The 14,567-nt window shown below is 41.3% G+C and overlaps 1 protein-coding gene across 1 annotated transcript in view; it reads left to right on the forward strand.

The window, feature by feature from the left end:
* IL13RA1 (interleukin 13 receptor subunit alpha 1) overlaps window positions 1-4,432 on the forward strand; it is a 77,623-nt gene extending 73,191 nt beyond the window's left edge. Inside the window, exon 11 of the mRNA XM_047442096.1 lies at window positions 4,136-4,432. Within this exon, the coding sequence (XP_047298052.1) occupies window positions 4,136-4,177 (42 nt within the window). The 3' untranslated portion in view covers window positions 4,178-4,432. The remainder of the gene's footprint in view (window positions 1-4,135) is intronic.
* The last annotated feature ends 10,135 nt before the right edge of the window (window positions 4,433-14,567 follow it).

The raw sequence follows: 14,567 nt of genomic DNA on the forward strand, positions 1-14,567 counted from the left end.
TTTTTTTGAGACAGGGTCTCACTTTTATCATGCAGGCTGGAGTGCAGTAATGCGAGCTCGGCTCACTGCAATCTCCACCTCCCAGGTTCAAGCGGTTCTCCTACCTCAGCCTTCCGAGTAGCTGGGACTACAGGCACTTGCCACCATGCTCAGCTGTTAATTTTTATTTTTTTGTAGAGATGGGGGTCTCCCTGTGTTGCCCAAGCTGATGTTGAACTCCTGGGCTCAAACAATCCTCCCACTATGGCCTCCCAAAGTGCTGAGATTACAGGCATGAGCCATTGCTCCCAGCCAAGATGATTTTTGTAAAATCATTTTTTGTCTAAATATAATCTTCACACATGATTAAAATTTTTACTAGGTGAAGAATTACTAATTGGAAACAATTTCCTCTGAGAATGTTGAAAGCATTATTCCGATGTGTTGTTGCTTCTAGTGTTGCTTTAGAAATGTCTGATTTCTAATTTTCTACATGTAACTTTTATCTGCAAGGTTTTCTCTTGGCCTCTTTTCTCTTGGTGTTTTAAATTTTAATGATATGCCTTATTGTGGATCTTCTTCCATTTACTGGGCTGGACTTTGTGAGCCCTTTCAATCTAAAATCTCATGCTTCATTTTTAAGACATTGCTTTCTATTATTTCTCACACAATAGCTTCCCTTGTGTTTTCTTTATCTCTAGGATTCCTATTAGTTGTACATTGGACATCCTGGACTGATTCTGTAATTTTCGTATCTTTTTTCTCCCATGTTCCCTTTATTTGTCTTTTGGTTCTGCTTTTTGGGAGATTTTCTTAACTTGATCTACCTGAGGCTCAGTCCTCATCTGTAAAATGCTGATAAAAGGACCTACCACCTAGCGTTGCTGTGAGGTGTCAGTGAAATAAAATGTAAAATGCTTAGCACAGTGAACTTTAATAAATGGTAGTTGTGGTTGCACATACTGTTATTCTGGAACCAATTTCTTGTCCCTCCTCATGTGAAAATGACAATCTTGGTTTACAATATCATACTATAATATTTGCCTTCATTGTAGTGAATTTGTAATGACATGGCATTTTCCAATTATACTGTTTTTAGAAAAAAATTCTATGGTATAAATCCAGTTAGCAACATTAATTCTTATTTATGCTTCTACAAACACTTAAAAGTATTTTTTTTCTTTTTTCTTTTCTTTTTTCCACTCTCCCCTCATCCCTGGGGTAGATGAGAACTGGAAAAATAATGCTGGGTATCCACTCCCTGACAGTGAAATAGGTAGTTTGGAGCCCCAATTAATTACTTTGTTAGGATGAGAGTGCAGATCAAACCTTTAACATGTGAGGGTTGCCGTACACTCTGCCTGCTATGCAGCCCCAAATAAGGCTGGCCAGTACCTAGGAGCACTGAGGAGGCTAATGGACAATTAACAAACATCGAGTCCAGAGGAGGCCTGGATTCTCTGTAAGCTTTGCAGCCAAAGGTGGCCCTGCCTGCCCACTTAGGGCCCCATGAAGACTAGAACTAGAATTACAGAAAAAGAATGTCTGCAAGTCAAGAACAATCTGGCTTTACTACTTTATTTTCATTCCTTCATCTGTTCAGTTGGGGGGCGATGTTAAAGCTATGTGACATGGGCACCAACCAGTCAGGTCAGATGCTGGCTATAATTACTTGGTAGGTTATGTATCAACCCTGGATTCAACAGATATTTATTGAGTGTCTACCATGTGCCAGCACTGTGCTAGCTAGGTACTGTATGATGCAGGGCAAGTTTCTTTCTTTCTCTGAGCTTCAGTTTGCTCACTTGTGAAAAAAAAGGAGTAAGTGATCTACAAGGGCTCCTTTAGGTCTAACATTCGCAATCAATAAAATAGTAACTTTTGATTGTTTTGGGAAAATAATGGAAACAGCTATAGAAAACAAGCAGCTGACCTAAGACTTGTAGATTTGAAAATGGGGGAAAAAACAGAAAATTATTCTGAGTTATTGTTTGACTTGAGATTTGGATTAAGAATCAGTTCTACATGTCTTATTTTCATGATGTTTCCAAAGGGAGACAAAGATAGCTCTAATCAAAGGGTGAGTTTGTTTTACAGCCTTGAACATTCAAGCTCCACCCCACTATCCCCCACCAACATGCATATACAAGACACCTTCCCCCTAAGGAGGCTACTACTTTCTTTTAGCATCCTCTCTCCAGCTGCTACACTTCAAACCCTTTCGTTCAGTGGTTGGCAATAGCTTGTCCACTCTGGCAAGAGTCCATGTTCCAAGCCTTTCTTAACTTCCTCTTTTCAGACTTGTCCTGCCTCATTTCCTGTTCCTTGTGGCCTCTGCCTCATAAGATGTTTGATCAATTCATCTTTGCTAATGTAGCCAAGGAGGGCTAAGAAGTTTGTGGGTTACCATTTCTGGATAAAATTCATATTACAAGGAGCCTCCCCAAACCATGCTACCACTTTTATGGTGGATTAAAAAAATATTATGGGAAAGTTCAAACATATATAGAAGTAAGGAGACTGTTACAGTGAATGGTCATATACCCATCAACTAGCTTCAACAATTATCAAAATGGTCAATCTTATTTCATTTATACTGCCACCCATTTCCTACTTCCTACATGACGAATTATTTTTAAGCAAGTCCCAGACATCACATCATTTCATCTGTAAATACTTTAGTATATATCTCTACAAACTAAGGACCCTTTTTGTTTTAAAAAACTGCAATACCATTATCACACTTTAAAACTAAACAATAATTGCTTAATATTCTCAATTATCTAGTCAGTGTTTACATTTCCCCAATTGTCTCATAAGTCTTTTTTTCCTACAATTTGCTTGAATCAGGATCCAATAAGGCTCACGGTGATTTTTTAAATAATGATGCTTTGTAATATACAGGGGTGAGAATTTGGGAACAAATGATTGTTTGGCCTTTAAAATCGTACTACATTGGCATTTAGGAATGAATACAGCCCTGCTGCCACAAAGTAGCTCTTTTTCCCTTCCAGATTGCTTTGACTAAAAATTTGTTTAGCATCCCATTGGATTCTGGAAATTCTTCTTGTTTTCTCTTTTCCTTCCTTCCTTCCTTCCTTCCTTCCTTCCTTCCTTCCTTCCTTCCTTCCTTCCTTCCTTCCTTCCTCTCTCTCTTTTTTTTCTTTTTTCTTTCTTTCTTTCTTTCTTTTTTTTTTTTTGACAGAGTTTTGCTCTTGTTGCCCAGGCTGGAGTGCAATGGTGCGATCTCGGCTCGCTGCAACCTCTGCCTCCTGGGTTCAAGTGATTCTCCTGCCTCAACCTCTCAAGTAGCTGGGATTACAGGCGCCCGCCACCACGCCTGGCTAATTTTTGTATTTTTAGTAGAGACGGGGTTTCACCGCGTTAGCCAGGCTGGTCTCGAACTCCTGACCTCAAGTGATCCACTTGCATCAGCCTCCCAAAGTGCTGGGATTACAGGCGTCAGCCACAGTGCCCAACAAATTCTGGAAATTCTTTATAAGCGTAGTCAGACATCTGTGAAGGAAGTGAAAACTGAAGTTTGGCCTTGAAGCTTAGAAGTTCTCACACAACCAAGACATAGTCTTCCTTAAAACAGAAAAAAAACACAGCCATGCATACACACACACACACACACACACACACACACACACACACACAAATGCCAACTTCTAATATGTCTACGGAATGTTTTTGCAAATGGTAGTACAGAGCATATCTGTGTTGTGTAATTTTTTCCCACATGATAAGGACCAATATAAACAAATTGGAAATGTGATACTAAAAGAGAGTACTTCAGCATGGATTAATTAAGACCAATATGGGGCAATCCTTTTCTGATATTTTACAATGCACTGAAAATTTTAAAGCAAGGTGGAAAAATAGGCTTATGGGTCTGAATGTTAGGTTGAGAAAAATTATCTGTGGTCAAGTGTGTGCTTTGTAAATCTGCTGAGTTTACACTTGATCATGCAGTTTTCTATAAGTTGCTGGCTTGAATACCACTGGGAAATATACAGACCATGTGACTATGAAACCAACCCAATTGTCCCACAGAGCTGATGTTTCTGATCTCTTTGAATAAACATAGAAATTGATCCTTCCAGTCTTAAAACTTGAGAAAGTTACATTTGTCTTATCTGAATTCCTTTCTCAGGAAACAAACCATCAGGCCTCCCAGAAAGTATCCGGGATCTGAAAATCACCAAATCACCACATCCGGACAGTGAGAAGCCAGATCCCTCACCCTTCTTGATTGGCTGACAAACCAACTGCTTCCTGTTGACCAACTCCTCTTCCTTATCCCTCCCTAATTCCTGTTTTCCCACACATGGTTTCACTTCTTCCCTGCTATACAAACACCTAATTTTAGTTGGTCAGGGAGATGGAATTGAGACTGATCTCTTGTCTCCTTGGCTGCTGCACCTGATTAAAGCCTTCTTCCTTGGCAATACTCATTGTCTCAGTGTTTGCCTTTCTGTGCAGTGAGAAAACAGGACCTAGATGGAACTCCTGCTGTTTTGGTAACATTACTACAGACCTCTCAGAATGGCTAAAATAAAAATAATGACAACACCTCAATAATAGTAAGGATGCAAAGAAATCATATCACTCATATATTTCTTGTGGGTACATAAAATGGTACAGCTACTCTGAGAAAGAGTGGCAGTTTGTTTAAAAACGAAACATGCAACTATCACATGGTCCAGCAATTGTACTGTTGGGCCTCTATCCCAGAAAAATAAAAACATATGTTCACACAACAAACTTTACATAAATGTTTATAATGGTTTTATTCATAATTTACAAAAACTAGAAAAACTCAGATATCCTTCAATGGGTGGGTGAATGGTTGAACAATTTTTGGTACAGTCACATCATGGAATACTACTTAGCAATAAAAGTGAATGAATATCACCTCACGCTCATTAGAATGGCCACTATAAAAAAAAACCCATAAAATAGAAAGTGTTGGTGTGGATGTGGGGAAATGAGAATCCTTGTGTGCTATTTGTGGGATTGTGAAATGGTGCAACAGCCATGGAAAACAGAATGGTAGTTCTTCAAAAAGTTAGAAATAGATCTACCTAGGCTGGGTGCGGTGGCTTACGCCTGTAGTCCCAGCACGTTGGGAGGCCGAGGTGGGCAGATCAACTGAGGTTGGGAGTTCCAGACCAGCCTGACCAACATGGAGAAACCCCGTCTCTACTAAAAATACAAAAATTAGCCGGGCGTAGTGGTGGGCACCTGTAATCCCAGCTACTCGGGAGGCTGAGGCAGGAGAATTGCTTGAACCTGGGAGGCAGAGGTTGCGGTGAGCTGAGATCGTGCCATTGCACTCCAGCCTGGGCAACAAGAGTGAAACTCCGTCTCAAAAAAAAAAAAGAAAAAAAGAAAAAAAAAAGAAAAAAGAAAAAGAAATAGATCTACCATATGACTCAGCAATCCCACTTCTGGGTATTTATGCAAAAGCATTAAAAGCAGGGTCTTGGGATATTTGCACACCCATATTCATAGCAGCAGTATTGAAACATGGAGTCTGGGAGCAGCATTCCTATGATCAGTGTCTATGCTATTCCACTTTGTGCTTTTATTAATTCATTCAAGAAGGCTTTTGACGAATATAGATCGTGTACGAGATGCTGTAGTAGATTCAAAGAATAGAGCATGCTTTCTTTTCTTTTTTAAAAAATTGAGATGGTGTCTCACTATTTTGCCCAGGCTAGTCTCAAACTCCTGGGCTCAGGTGATCCTCTTGCCTGCCAAGTAGCTGGGACTACAGGTGCAGTGCATACTTTCTGTCCTATTATTGCTGATAGTCCAGTGCAGGAATGGCAAATTTGTTTCATTTTGTGGATCAGTTCTTCTGGAATACTGTTTCCCGAAGGATTTTGAGATTGGGTTTGGGCTCAGTGGGAAGATGGCTAAGATCTATCAGTGATGTCTCTTGTTGGGTACTGGTGGGGGGGTGTTGATGTACTTGTGCCACATGGTTGCCACCTTGGCTAAGGGCTAGAGTGACATATTTATGTATATAAATAATGGATTATCAACAAGACAGAATATTAGCAATTAGAGTTATGAAAGGAGGTCCAAGTAAAGTGCTGTATACAGGCAGTGGAAAAAATGATGGGGGTGTCGGGGCTGGGAGGATACCCAGAAAAGTTTTTTGAGGGCAGTGCTAGTTGGTCTGCACATTAAAGCAAGAGTAGAATCTGAAGAGATTAACAAAAGGGGGCATCCCTGTCCTCAGAAGGAGTTTGAGTAGAGTGGAAGGATGGATTGTGAGAGAAAGATGACAGAGATAAGCAGATGACCTAGGGATTAGGCAAGAGGTGGAGAGGATCCGCTCCATGCCTGGCAAACAGGAGAGGAGGACACAGATCTGAAGTAGTTTAGAGGTTGACTCACCAGGACTCCATGAATGGGAGGGAGATGCTCAAAATGTTATAGAGAAGCACAGGCTTGGGTGGGGAATGGGGAGTAGATGAGAAATACGAATTTCATTTTGGACATGTTCACTGTAGTATGCTAGAGGAACCATTAGGTTATGATTTCCTACAGGGTTGGGGACACTCACGGATGGCAATGAGAGGAGGGCAGCTTCAAGAGTCAGGGTTATGGGAGCCAGCTGCCAGGGAAAGACCAATGAGGTCATTCCCAAAATAAGACACATTGCAAGCCCTCTCAGCACAGTGTGAGGACAACCCAAATCTAAGCTAGCTCTGGGGGCAGTCATGGCATGGTAGGTTAGATGTCAAAGCAGAGACTTCATCACGAACTTGGCAGCCCAAGAGTAACACACTGCTGCCATCTGGGGGCTGCATGTAGAAATTGTAATGGCAGCTTTGTGAAAGCCACTTAATGAGAGAGGACATTATTTTGGAACCAGCAAGACCCTTCCTCTCAAAAGCCTTTTATAGTTCTTCCTTAAATTCTTTTCTGCCTAGTTCTACTTCTCTGTCCCCAATGAAGGAAACCATGGGTGCACATGTTCTGTAGCATATTTCCAGAAGGACTGAACCCCTGAAAGCAGAATACTTTCAGTCAGCTACAGCATCCTAGCACTGGATTGAGATACTCCATGCTGCTGCTGCTACTGTGCTCTAGCAACTGACCAAAGTTCTTGCCTGAACCACCCTCTGCCGGATCTCCCAAATCCCCTCATTTTGACTTCATCACTGCCTGGTTCTGACCTTTGATACTAGAATACTGAATTTTTGCCTCCAGGGGCACAATTTACTCTTCTATGTTTTCTTTTGCTAGCATCTTTTTCCTAAGTGGAACTGGATTTTCATTTACTCATTTTTCATTCAACAAACATTTATTGAGTGGCCACAGTGTGTCAGGTACTAGGATACATTTGGGAGCAAAAATAGATGGGTCCCCTCAGAAACCTGTATTACAGTCTAACTGTAAAGACAAAACAATCATTTTAAATGTGATAATTGCTATGAAGGAAAGGTCAATGATGCAGTGAGATGTAGTGAGGTGAGATGAAGAAAAGGTCGATGAGGCTGTGAGAACAGGTAACAGGGGATTCTGACCTAGTCTTGCAGGGTAGCAAAAACTTTTCTGAGGATGTGACATTTAAGCTGAAATTTTAAGGATTGGTAGGAATTAGCCAGAAATTAACTGTTCTGAAAACTATGAAACCTATAAGACTGGGAAAGAAGGGGCCATCCTCCTTGTTCCTCTGTCTTCTACAGTGGTAATACAGCAGGGAGATTCAATTGCTTTACATAGGACAGTCTCTAGGAAGATCTTTCATTCTGAATTAGCATGTCAACTACAGTGAAAACATGTCTAAAAAATAACAATTACAACAACTAGAAAATCAGGAAATGTAGAAATAAAGAACCCCCCCTAAAACTCCTCCAAATTAGACTGCCCTAATGAAAATAGGAATAGGTATAAACAGACAAAGAAATACTAATGTTCTTGAAGTCTTGAAATACTATCTTTTGGTTTATTTCTTTTCATTTTTATTTTTCATTTAAATAATTGAACCGATTTTTTATTTTTTGAGACAGGGTCTTGCTCTGTTGCTCAGGCTGTGGTGCAGTAATGTGATCACACCTCACTGCAGCCTTCAATTCCTGGGCTCAAGCAATCCTCACACCTCAACCTCCTGAGGAGCTGGGACTACAGGTGTACACCACCACACCAACTAATTTTTTTTTTTGTATTTTTAGTAGATACAGGATTTTGCCATGTTGTCCAGACTGGTCTTGAACTCCTGGGGTCAAGTGATCTGCCTGCCTCAGCCTCCAAAATTGCTAGGATTACAGGCGTGAGCTGCTGTGCCCAGCCGAACTGCTTTTTAAAAATCTCCATATACACTTATTTGAACAACTTGATCATAATTTCTGAAATCTTTTAACACATCAGACCTGAACCAAATCAAGATACCAAAACCCACCTGAGCTTCAGATGCCTCATTGGTAAAATAGGGATTATAGTATAGTAATAGCTACATCTTACGGCTTTTGGAGACTTAATGAGTTGACACTTACAAAGCACACCATTGCCCTGCTCATTGTAAGTGCATAATACATGTTAATATTATTATTCCAGGGCTGACCTGTTTGTAGAAGGTGTCAGGGGAAAATATTTCCAGGTTGATGGAACGTTGAGGTTGCTTCAACCCCATGCCATGGTTGGTTACTTCAGCTACGCAAGGACCAGCCCCGACATGAGAAATGATAAGTGAAAAAAAGAGAATCAAGCCCAGTACATAGCATATAATTCACCTGGCCTGCAGAAGTACACACAAAAGCTTATTCTGTAGTTCATATTCATAAGAGATATCCCCTCCCTCGTTCCTAACAGGTAATCGTCTAGTCTCTGCCTAAATCCCTGCAGCAACAGGGAGTGCCCTATTTATGGAGAAAGGCCATTTTATTTATTGATAGTTCTAATTTTCTGGATCTATCTTCAAATTCCAGAGTAAAAAGTCATTTTTATCATGTATCTTCCCATTAATCTTCCTTATGCCCTGGAGAACCAAACAGAACAAAAAAAGTCCTCACTCAAAATTGGCAAAATTGAGTAAGGACATAGATTACAATATTGCATCAACTATCAAGTGTCCTAATTTTGGTAATGGTCTTCTATAAGAATGGCTGTGTCCCTGGGAAATATGCATTGAAGCATTAGGGAGTAAAATGGCATGATGCATGTGACCTGCCTGCAAATAGTTCCTAAAAAAAAAGAACATTAATATGTAAGTAATGAGAGAGAGTGATAAAAACAAATTGCCAAAATATTTAAAATTGGTGGGATCTGCATAGATGGTGTATGGGAATTATTTGTTCTACTTTTACAACTCTTCTGTAATTTTTAAATTATTTCTAAATAAAAAGTTAATAAAAATCCTGGGCTGGGCATGGTGGCTCACGCCTGTAATCCCAGTACTTTGGGAGGCTGGGGTGGGTGGATCACTTGAGGCCAGGAGTTTGAGACCAGCCTGGCCAACATAGCTAAACCCCATCTCTACTAAAAATACAAAAATTAGCTCGGTCTGGTGGTGCACACCCATAGTCCCAGCTACTCGGGAGGCTGAGGCAGGAGAATCGCTTGAACCCTGTAGGTGGAGGTTGCAGTGAGCCAAGGTGGCACCACTGCACTCCAGCCTGGGCGACTGAGCGAGACTCTTTCTCACCAAAAAAAAAAAAAAAGATAGTAAAAATCCTCTCTCTTCCATAGCAAAGCTCTTCAAAGGTTTGAGAGCAATTACCACATTTATTCTGTTCTACATTTCCATCTCACTTATTTGCTTACTCTTCACTCATTCATTTATTCTTTGATAAATATTGATTGAGCACTTGCTTTGTACTATGCCCAGAGCTGGGCACTGTGGAAGTGGTGGAGAAGAAAGTCAATTCTACCTGGCTCTCATGGAATTCAGGGGCACTTGGTGGAGTCCAAAGGTAATCAAATTATTCTACAAGTAATTGTATTATTTCTAACTCTGATAGGGCTATGACATAAGAATCAGGGAGGGTGGGATGGTATGAGAGAGCCTGCCAGAACGTTCTGAACCTGCTAAGTGGACCCAGCATTTAAGGTTGTAGGGGTGCAAAGGGCAGTGTGCCAAAGAGATTAGCATTCCTTTATGAAAAATCTCTTGGCTGAGGGGAAGGATTTGTGAGCCCAGGTGAGCAGCTTTGGACAAGCTGTTCCATTTGTCAAGTTGTTCCATCTGCTTCCTTAAGTGTCACAAAGTATTGAAGAGAGATTGCCTGGGCTTGAATGACAGCTGCTGTTTCCTAGCCATGTAGTTGTGAAAGAGGATAGCAGAGCCTTGGTGCCTTCACGCAGATTGAGACCCTTGTCCCCCATCAATCATAGCTATGTCTGATGGCATGGCTATGGCAGTTGGGTCCCTTGCCACACAATTTCAAGCCTGGGCCTGAGTTGAGCCCAGATGAGTCCTGGGAACAGAAACTCCAACAGGAATCATGTCAGTTTCTGTAACAGGATTTGCCTTGCAACCTAGATGAGAAAACTGAGCTTTAGAGTCATCAGCATGTATTTTTTTTCCCAAGAAAAATAGCCATTAAATGTGGGGGTGGATTTGAAGATCAAGCTGAGAATGTGCATGTGAAGCTTAGCACTTAGAACATAATATGCCTCCAACAAATGGCAGCTATCATTCTTTTCATCACTGATACCAAGGTGGGCTGAGTGAAGAAAAATGAGGTGGCTGAGGATGCTGGATATTTAATACCTCCAGGGCACTGTCAAGGGACAGGGGACAGGGCTCCAAATGGAAGGATGCAAGAACTTGCTTTTTTTTCTTTTTTTTTTTGAGATGGGGTCTTGCTCTGTCGCCGAGGCTGGAATGCAGTGATATGATCTCGGCTCACTGCAGCCTCCACTTCCTGGGCTCAAATGATCCTCCCACCTCAGCCTCTCGAGTAGCTGGGACCACAGGTCCACATCACCATGCCTGGCTAATTTTTTATTATTTGTAGAAATGGGATCTCCATATGTTTCCCAGGCTGGTCTTGATCTCCTGGACTCAAACAATCCTGGCACCTTGGCCTCCCAAAGTGTTGGGATTACAGGCATGAGCCACCGCACCCAGCCGAGAACTTACTTTCACCCATCTCATAGTTTTGCTTGTGATGATCACCTAGTATTCTAAACAGTCAGTACTCGAACTCTAGTGCAATATTATTCATTCAATGAATGTTTATTGAGTACTTGCTATATGACAGACACTGTCCAGGTGCTGGGGCTACACAAGGAAACAAAACAAGTGAACACTTAGCTTCATATTTCTATATACCATGAGAGTTTTCACAGTGCTTTCATGTCCATGATTTCATCTGTTCCTCATGACAATACAATGAGATAGGTCCTATTATTATTTTCATTTTATGGGTGGGGGAACTGATATATCCAGAGATTAATTAATTAACTCAAGAGCGATAGAACCCAGGCCCCAGGTTGTAGTTTAATGCTCCCTTCACCACACACACATTCGGAACGGCCACCATCCTGATCTACCTCTTGCCAGTCTCCCTCTTGCCAGTGGGCCCCCAGGGCTTTCCAGCCTGACTTCTGCCTCTGGACCCCACCCTCCTCCCCCACTTGCTCTAGATCTTGTCTCTGCCACAGCAGTCCAGCTGATCAGTCAGCAAGGATTTCTGAAGCACCCAGCACCATGATTTTACCATGATTTCCCAAAGGGCTACTTGGGTCTCAGTCATTTCAGTCAATCCAGACCAGCAGGCTGGCCTACATTTTCTGAGGTGTTGCAGCTATGCAGAATTGGTTGGACTTTTTGCTGGGCCCCTCTATGGTGGTGCTTTGGGAGGGCACTCTCCTGTGTTCAGATAACTGGGGCAGAATTAGAGGAATTAACAAAATAACAGTTTTGGATGCCAGGTTCCCCATTAGGAGTTTGACTCTGCACTCCCTCAGATTTGGTGGCGTGTGCTCTCCTGCTGGTAATACACTTCCTGTGACCTGGAAATCCTACTGCTATATTCCTTAGGTTTGGCCAGACTTTAAAACCCGCCAGATCATTGCAACTTAAGCAACTTCTAAGAACATCTCTTTACCAGGTGTTATTTAGAGAACGCAAGAGATTTACGTCTGCTCTGAAATGTTACATTGGCACTATATAAACTTTCCCAGTACACAAAGCTCTCAGGCTTTTGGACATGTTTTCTCCTATTAAGTCATATAAATAGCTTAATAAAACAGTATTTGGTTAAACATCATTTGAATTTCCCACTGAATGATGGTTATATTCAACTCCAAGAAAACGTGGAAAGTGCAAAGGCTTTGGAATTAGACGGATCTGTTTTCAAAACATTACGCCACCTCTTAAAGCTGTGTGACTCCAGGCTTCTTACTTAACCTCTCCGAGTGTCAGTTTCAATTACACATACCATGCCTGTAATCCCAGCACTTTGGGAGGCCAAGCGGGGTGGATCATTTGAGGTCAGGAGTTTAAGACCAGCCTGGCCAACATGGTGAAACCCCAACTCTACTAAAAATACAAAAATTAGCCAGGCGGTAGTGGTGCACGCCTGTTATCCCAGGTAGTCGGGAGACTGAGGCAGGATAATTAGTTGAGCCTGGCAGACGGAGGTTGTAGTGAGCTGAGATCACGCCACTGCACTCCTGTCTGGGCAACAGAGTGAGACCTTGTCTCAAAAAAAATGCAATTGTATTATTTTCATGTATGGTATCTAGAATAAATGGAAAATAGGACAATAACAGACATACAACAGGGACTCAGAATTAATGTATCTCATAACGAGCTTTAGAAAGAAATAATAACAGATGCCAATTATAAAGCACTTACATGTCAAAAAACATACTCAGCTGGGTGTGGTGGTAGGCACCTATAGTCCCAGCTACTCGGGAAGCTGAGGTGGGAGGATTGCTTGAAGCCAGGAGTTGGAGGCCACAGTGAGCTATGATGAGTACAGTGAATGGCCACTGCACTTCAGCCTGGGCAACAGTGAGTTCCCTTATCTAAAAAAAATATTCACAAGGTATTACAAGGATAATCTTCTTTAATATGCACAGTAACATTTTAGCTAGATGATATTATAATCTCCACTTACAGATATGGAAACTGAGGCCCAGAAGGATTGTGAAACTAAAACTTAAGTGGTAGATGCAGAACCTATTTGGTTTTGCTGTAGAGCCTGCATGCTTTACCACTATTTCCCTATCTTTAGTGCTTTGCACAGGAACCAAAGAAGCACGTCTTTTAGGAAAGTCAAATCTTTTTACTCTATCCAACACTCTCTCCACTCCTATTCCCTCTTTTAATCTTACGGACACTTAATTTAGGAACCCTTTTCTTGAAATATCTGGAATCAATAGCCTGGCTCAGTCCAATATTTTAACAATTCAGTGTAGTCCACATACACTCAGGTGAATGAGTTTAATGTTAACAGTTTATTGAAAATAGAACAGATATACAGAAATGTGCATAAAACATGTATGTAGATTTTTAACAAATCGTTAGAAAAGAAATACCCATGTAACCACCAAGAAAGATCAGAAATCAAACACTAGGATGCCACAGAAGCCCTCTGTGGTTCTCTTTTTAATCAAAGCTCTTCTCTCACCCCCAGGCGGAACCACTAGCCTGACTTTTATAGGAATAGTTCCATGCTTTCTTTTAGTTTTTGATCATCTCTGTATGCAAGTCTAAGCAATATAGTTTAGGCTCACCTTTGTTTGAACTTTATATAAATGGATCCACACCGTAAATATTCTTTTTCTAAAAAAATCTTTATTGTGATATAGTGTACATCTTTAAAATTCATCCTTTGAAAGTGTACAATTCAATGGTTTTTAAATATATTCAGTTACATGACCATCATCACAATCAATTTTAGAACATTATCATCACCACAGAAAGAAACCCTGTACCTATTAGCAGTCACTCCCTTTTCCTTCCTACCCCCAACCCCTGGCAACCTCTAATCTACTTTCTATCTATGTGGATTTGTCTCTTCTGAATATTTCATATAAACAGAATCATACAATATGTGGCCTTTTGTGTGGCCATCTTTCACTTAGCATAGTGTTTCCAGGGTTCACCCATGATGTAGCATGTAAAAGCACTTCTTTCCTTTTATCCATTCATTAATTGATGGACATTTGAGTGGTTTCCCCTTTTCGGTTATTAATAATGACACTATGCACATTAGTATACAAGTTTTTGTGGCCGGGCACAGTGGCTCACGCCTGTAATCCCAGCACTTTGGGAGGCCAAGGCGGGCAGATCACGAGGTCAGGAGATTGAGACCATCCTGGCTAACACGGTGAAACCCTGTCTCTACTAAAAAATACAAAAAATTAGCTGGGCGTGGTGGCAGGCACCTGTAGTCCCAGCTACTCAGGAGGCTGAGGCAGGAGAATGGCGTGAATCCGGGAGGCGGAGCTTGCAGTGAGCCGAGATCACGCCACTGTACTCCAGCCTGGGCGACAGAGCGAGACGCAATCTCAAAAAAAAAAAAAGTTTTTGTATGGACATAGGTTTTCATTTCTTTTGGGTATTCACCTGGGAATAGAATTGCTGGGTCATATAGTAATTCTATATTTAA

This window comes from Homo sapiens, chromosome X, assembly GCF_000001405.40.
Source record: "Homo sapiens chromosome X, GRCh38.p14 Primary Assembly".
NCBI classification, from domain to species: Eukaryota; Metazoa; Chordata; class Mammalia; order Primates; family Hominidae; genus Homo; species Homo sapiens.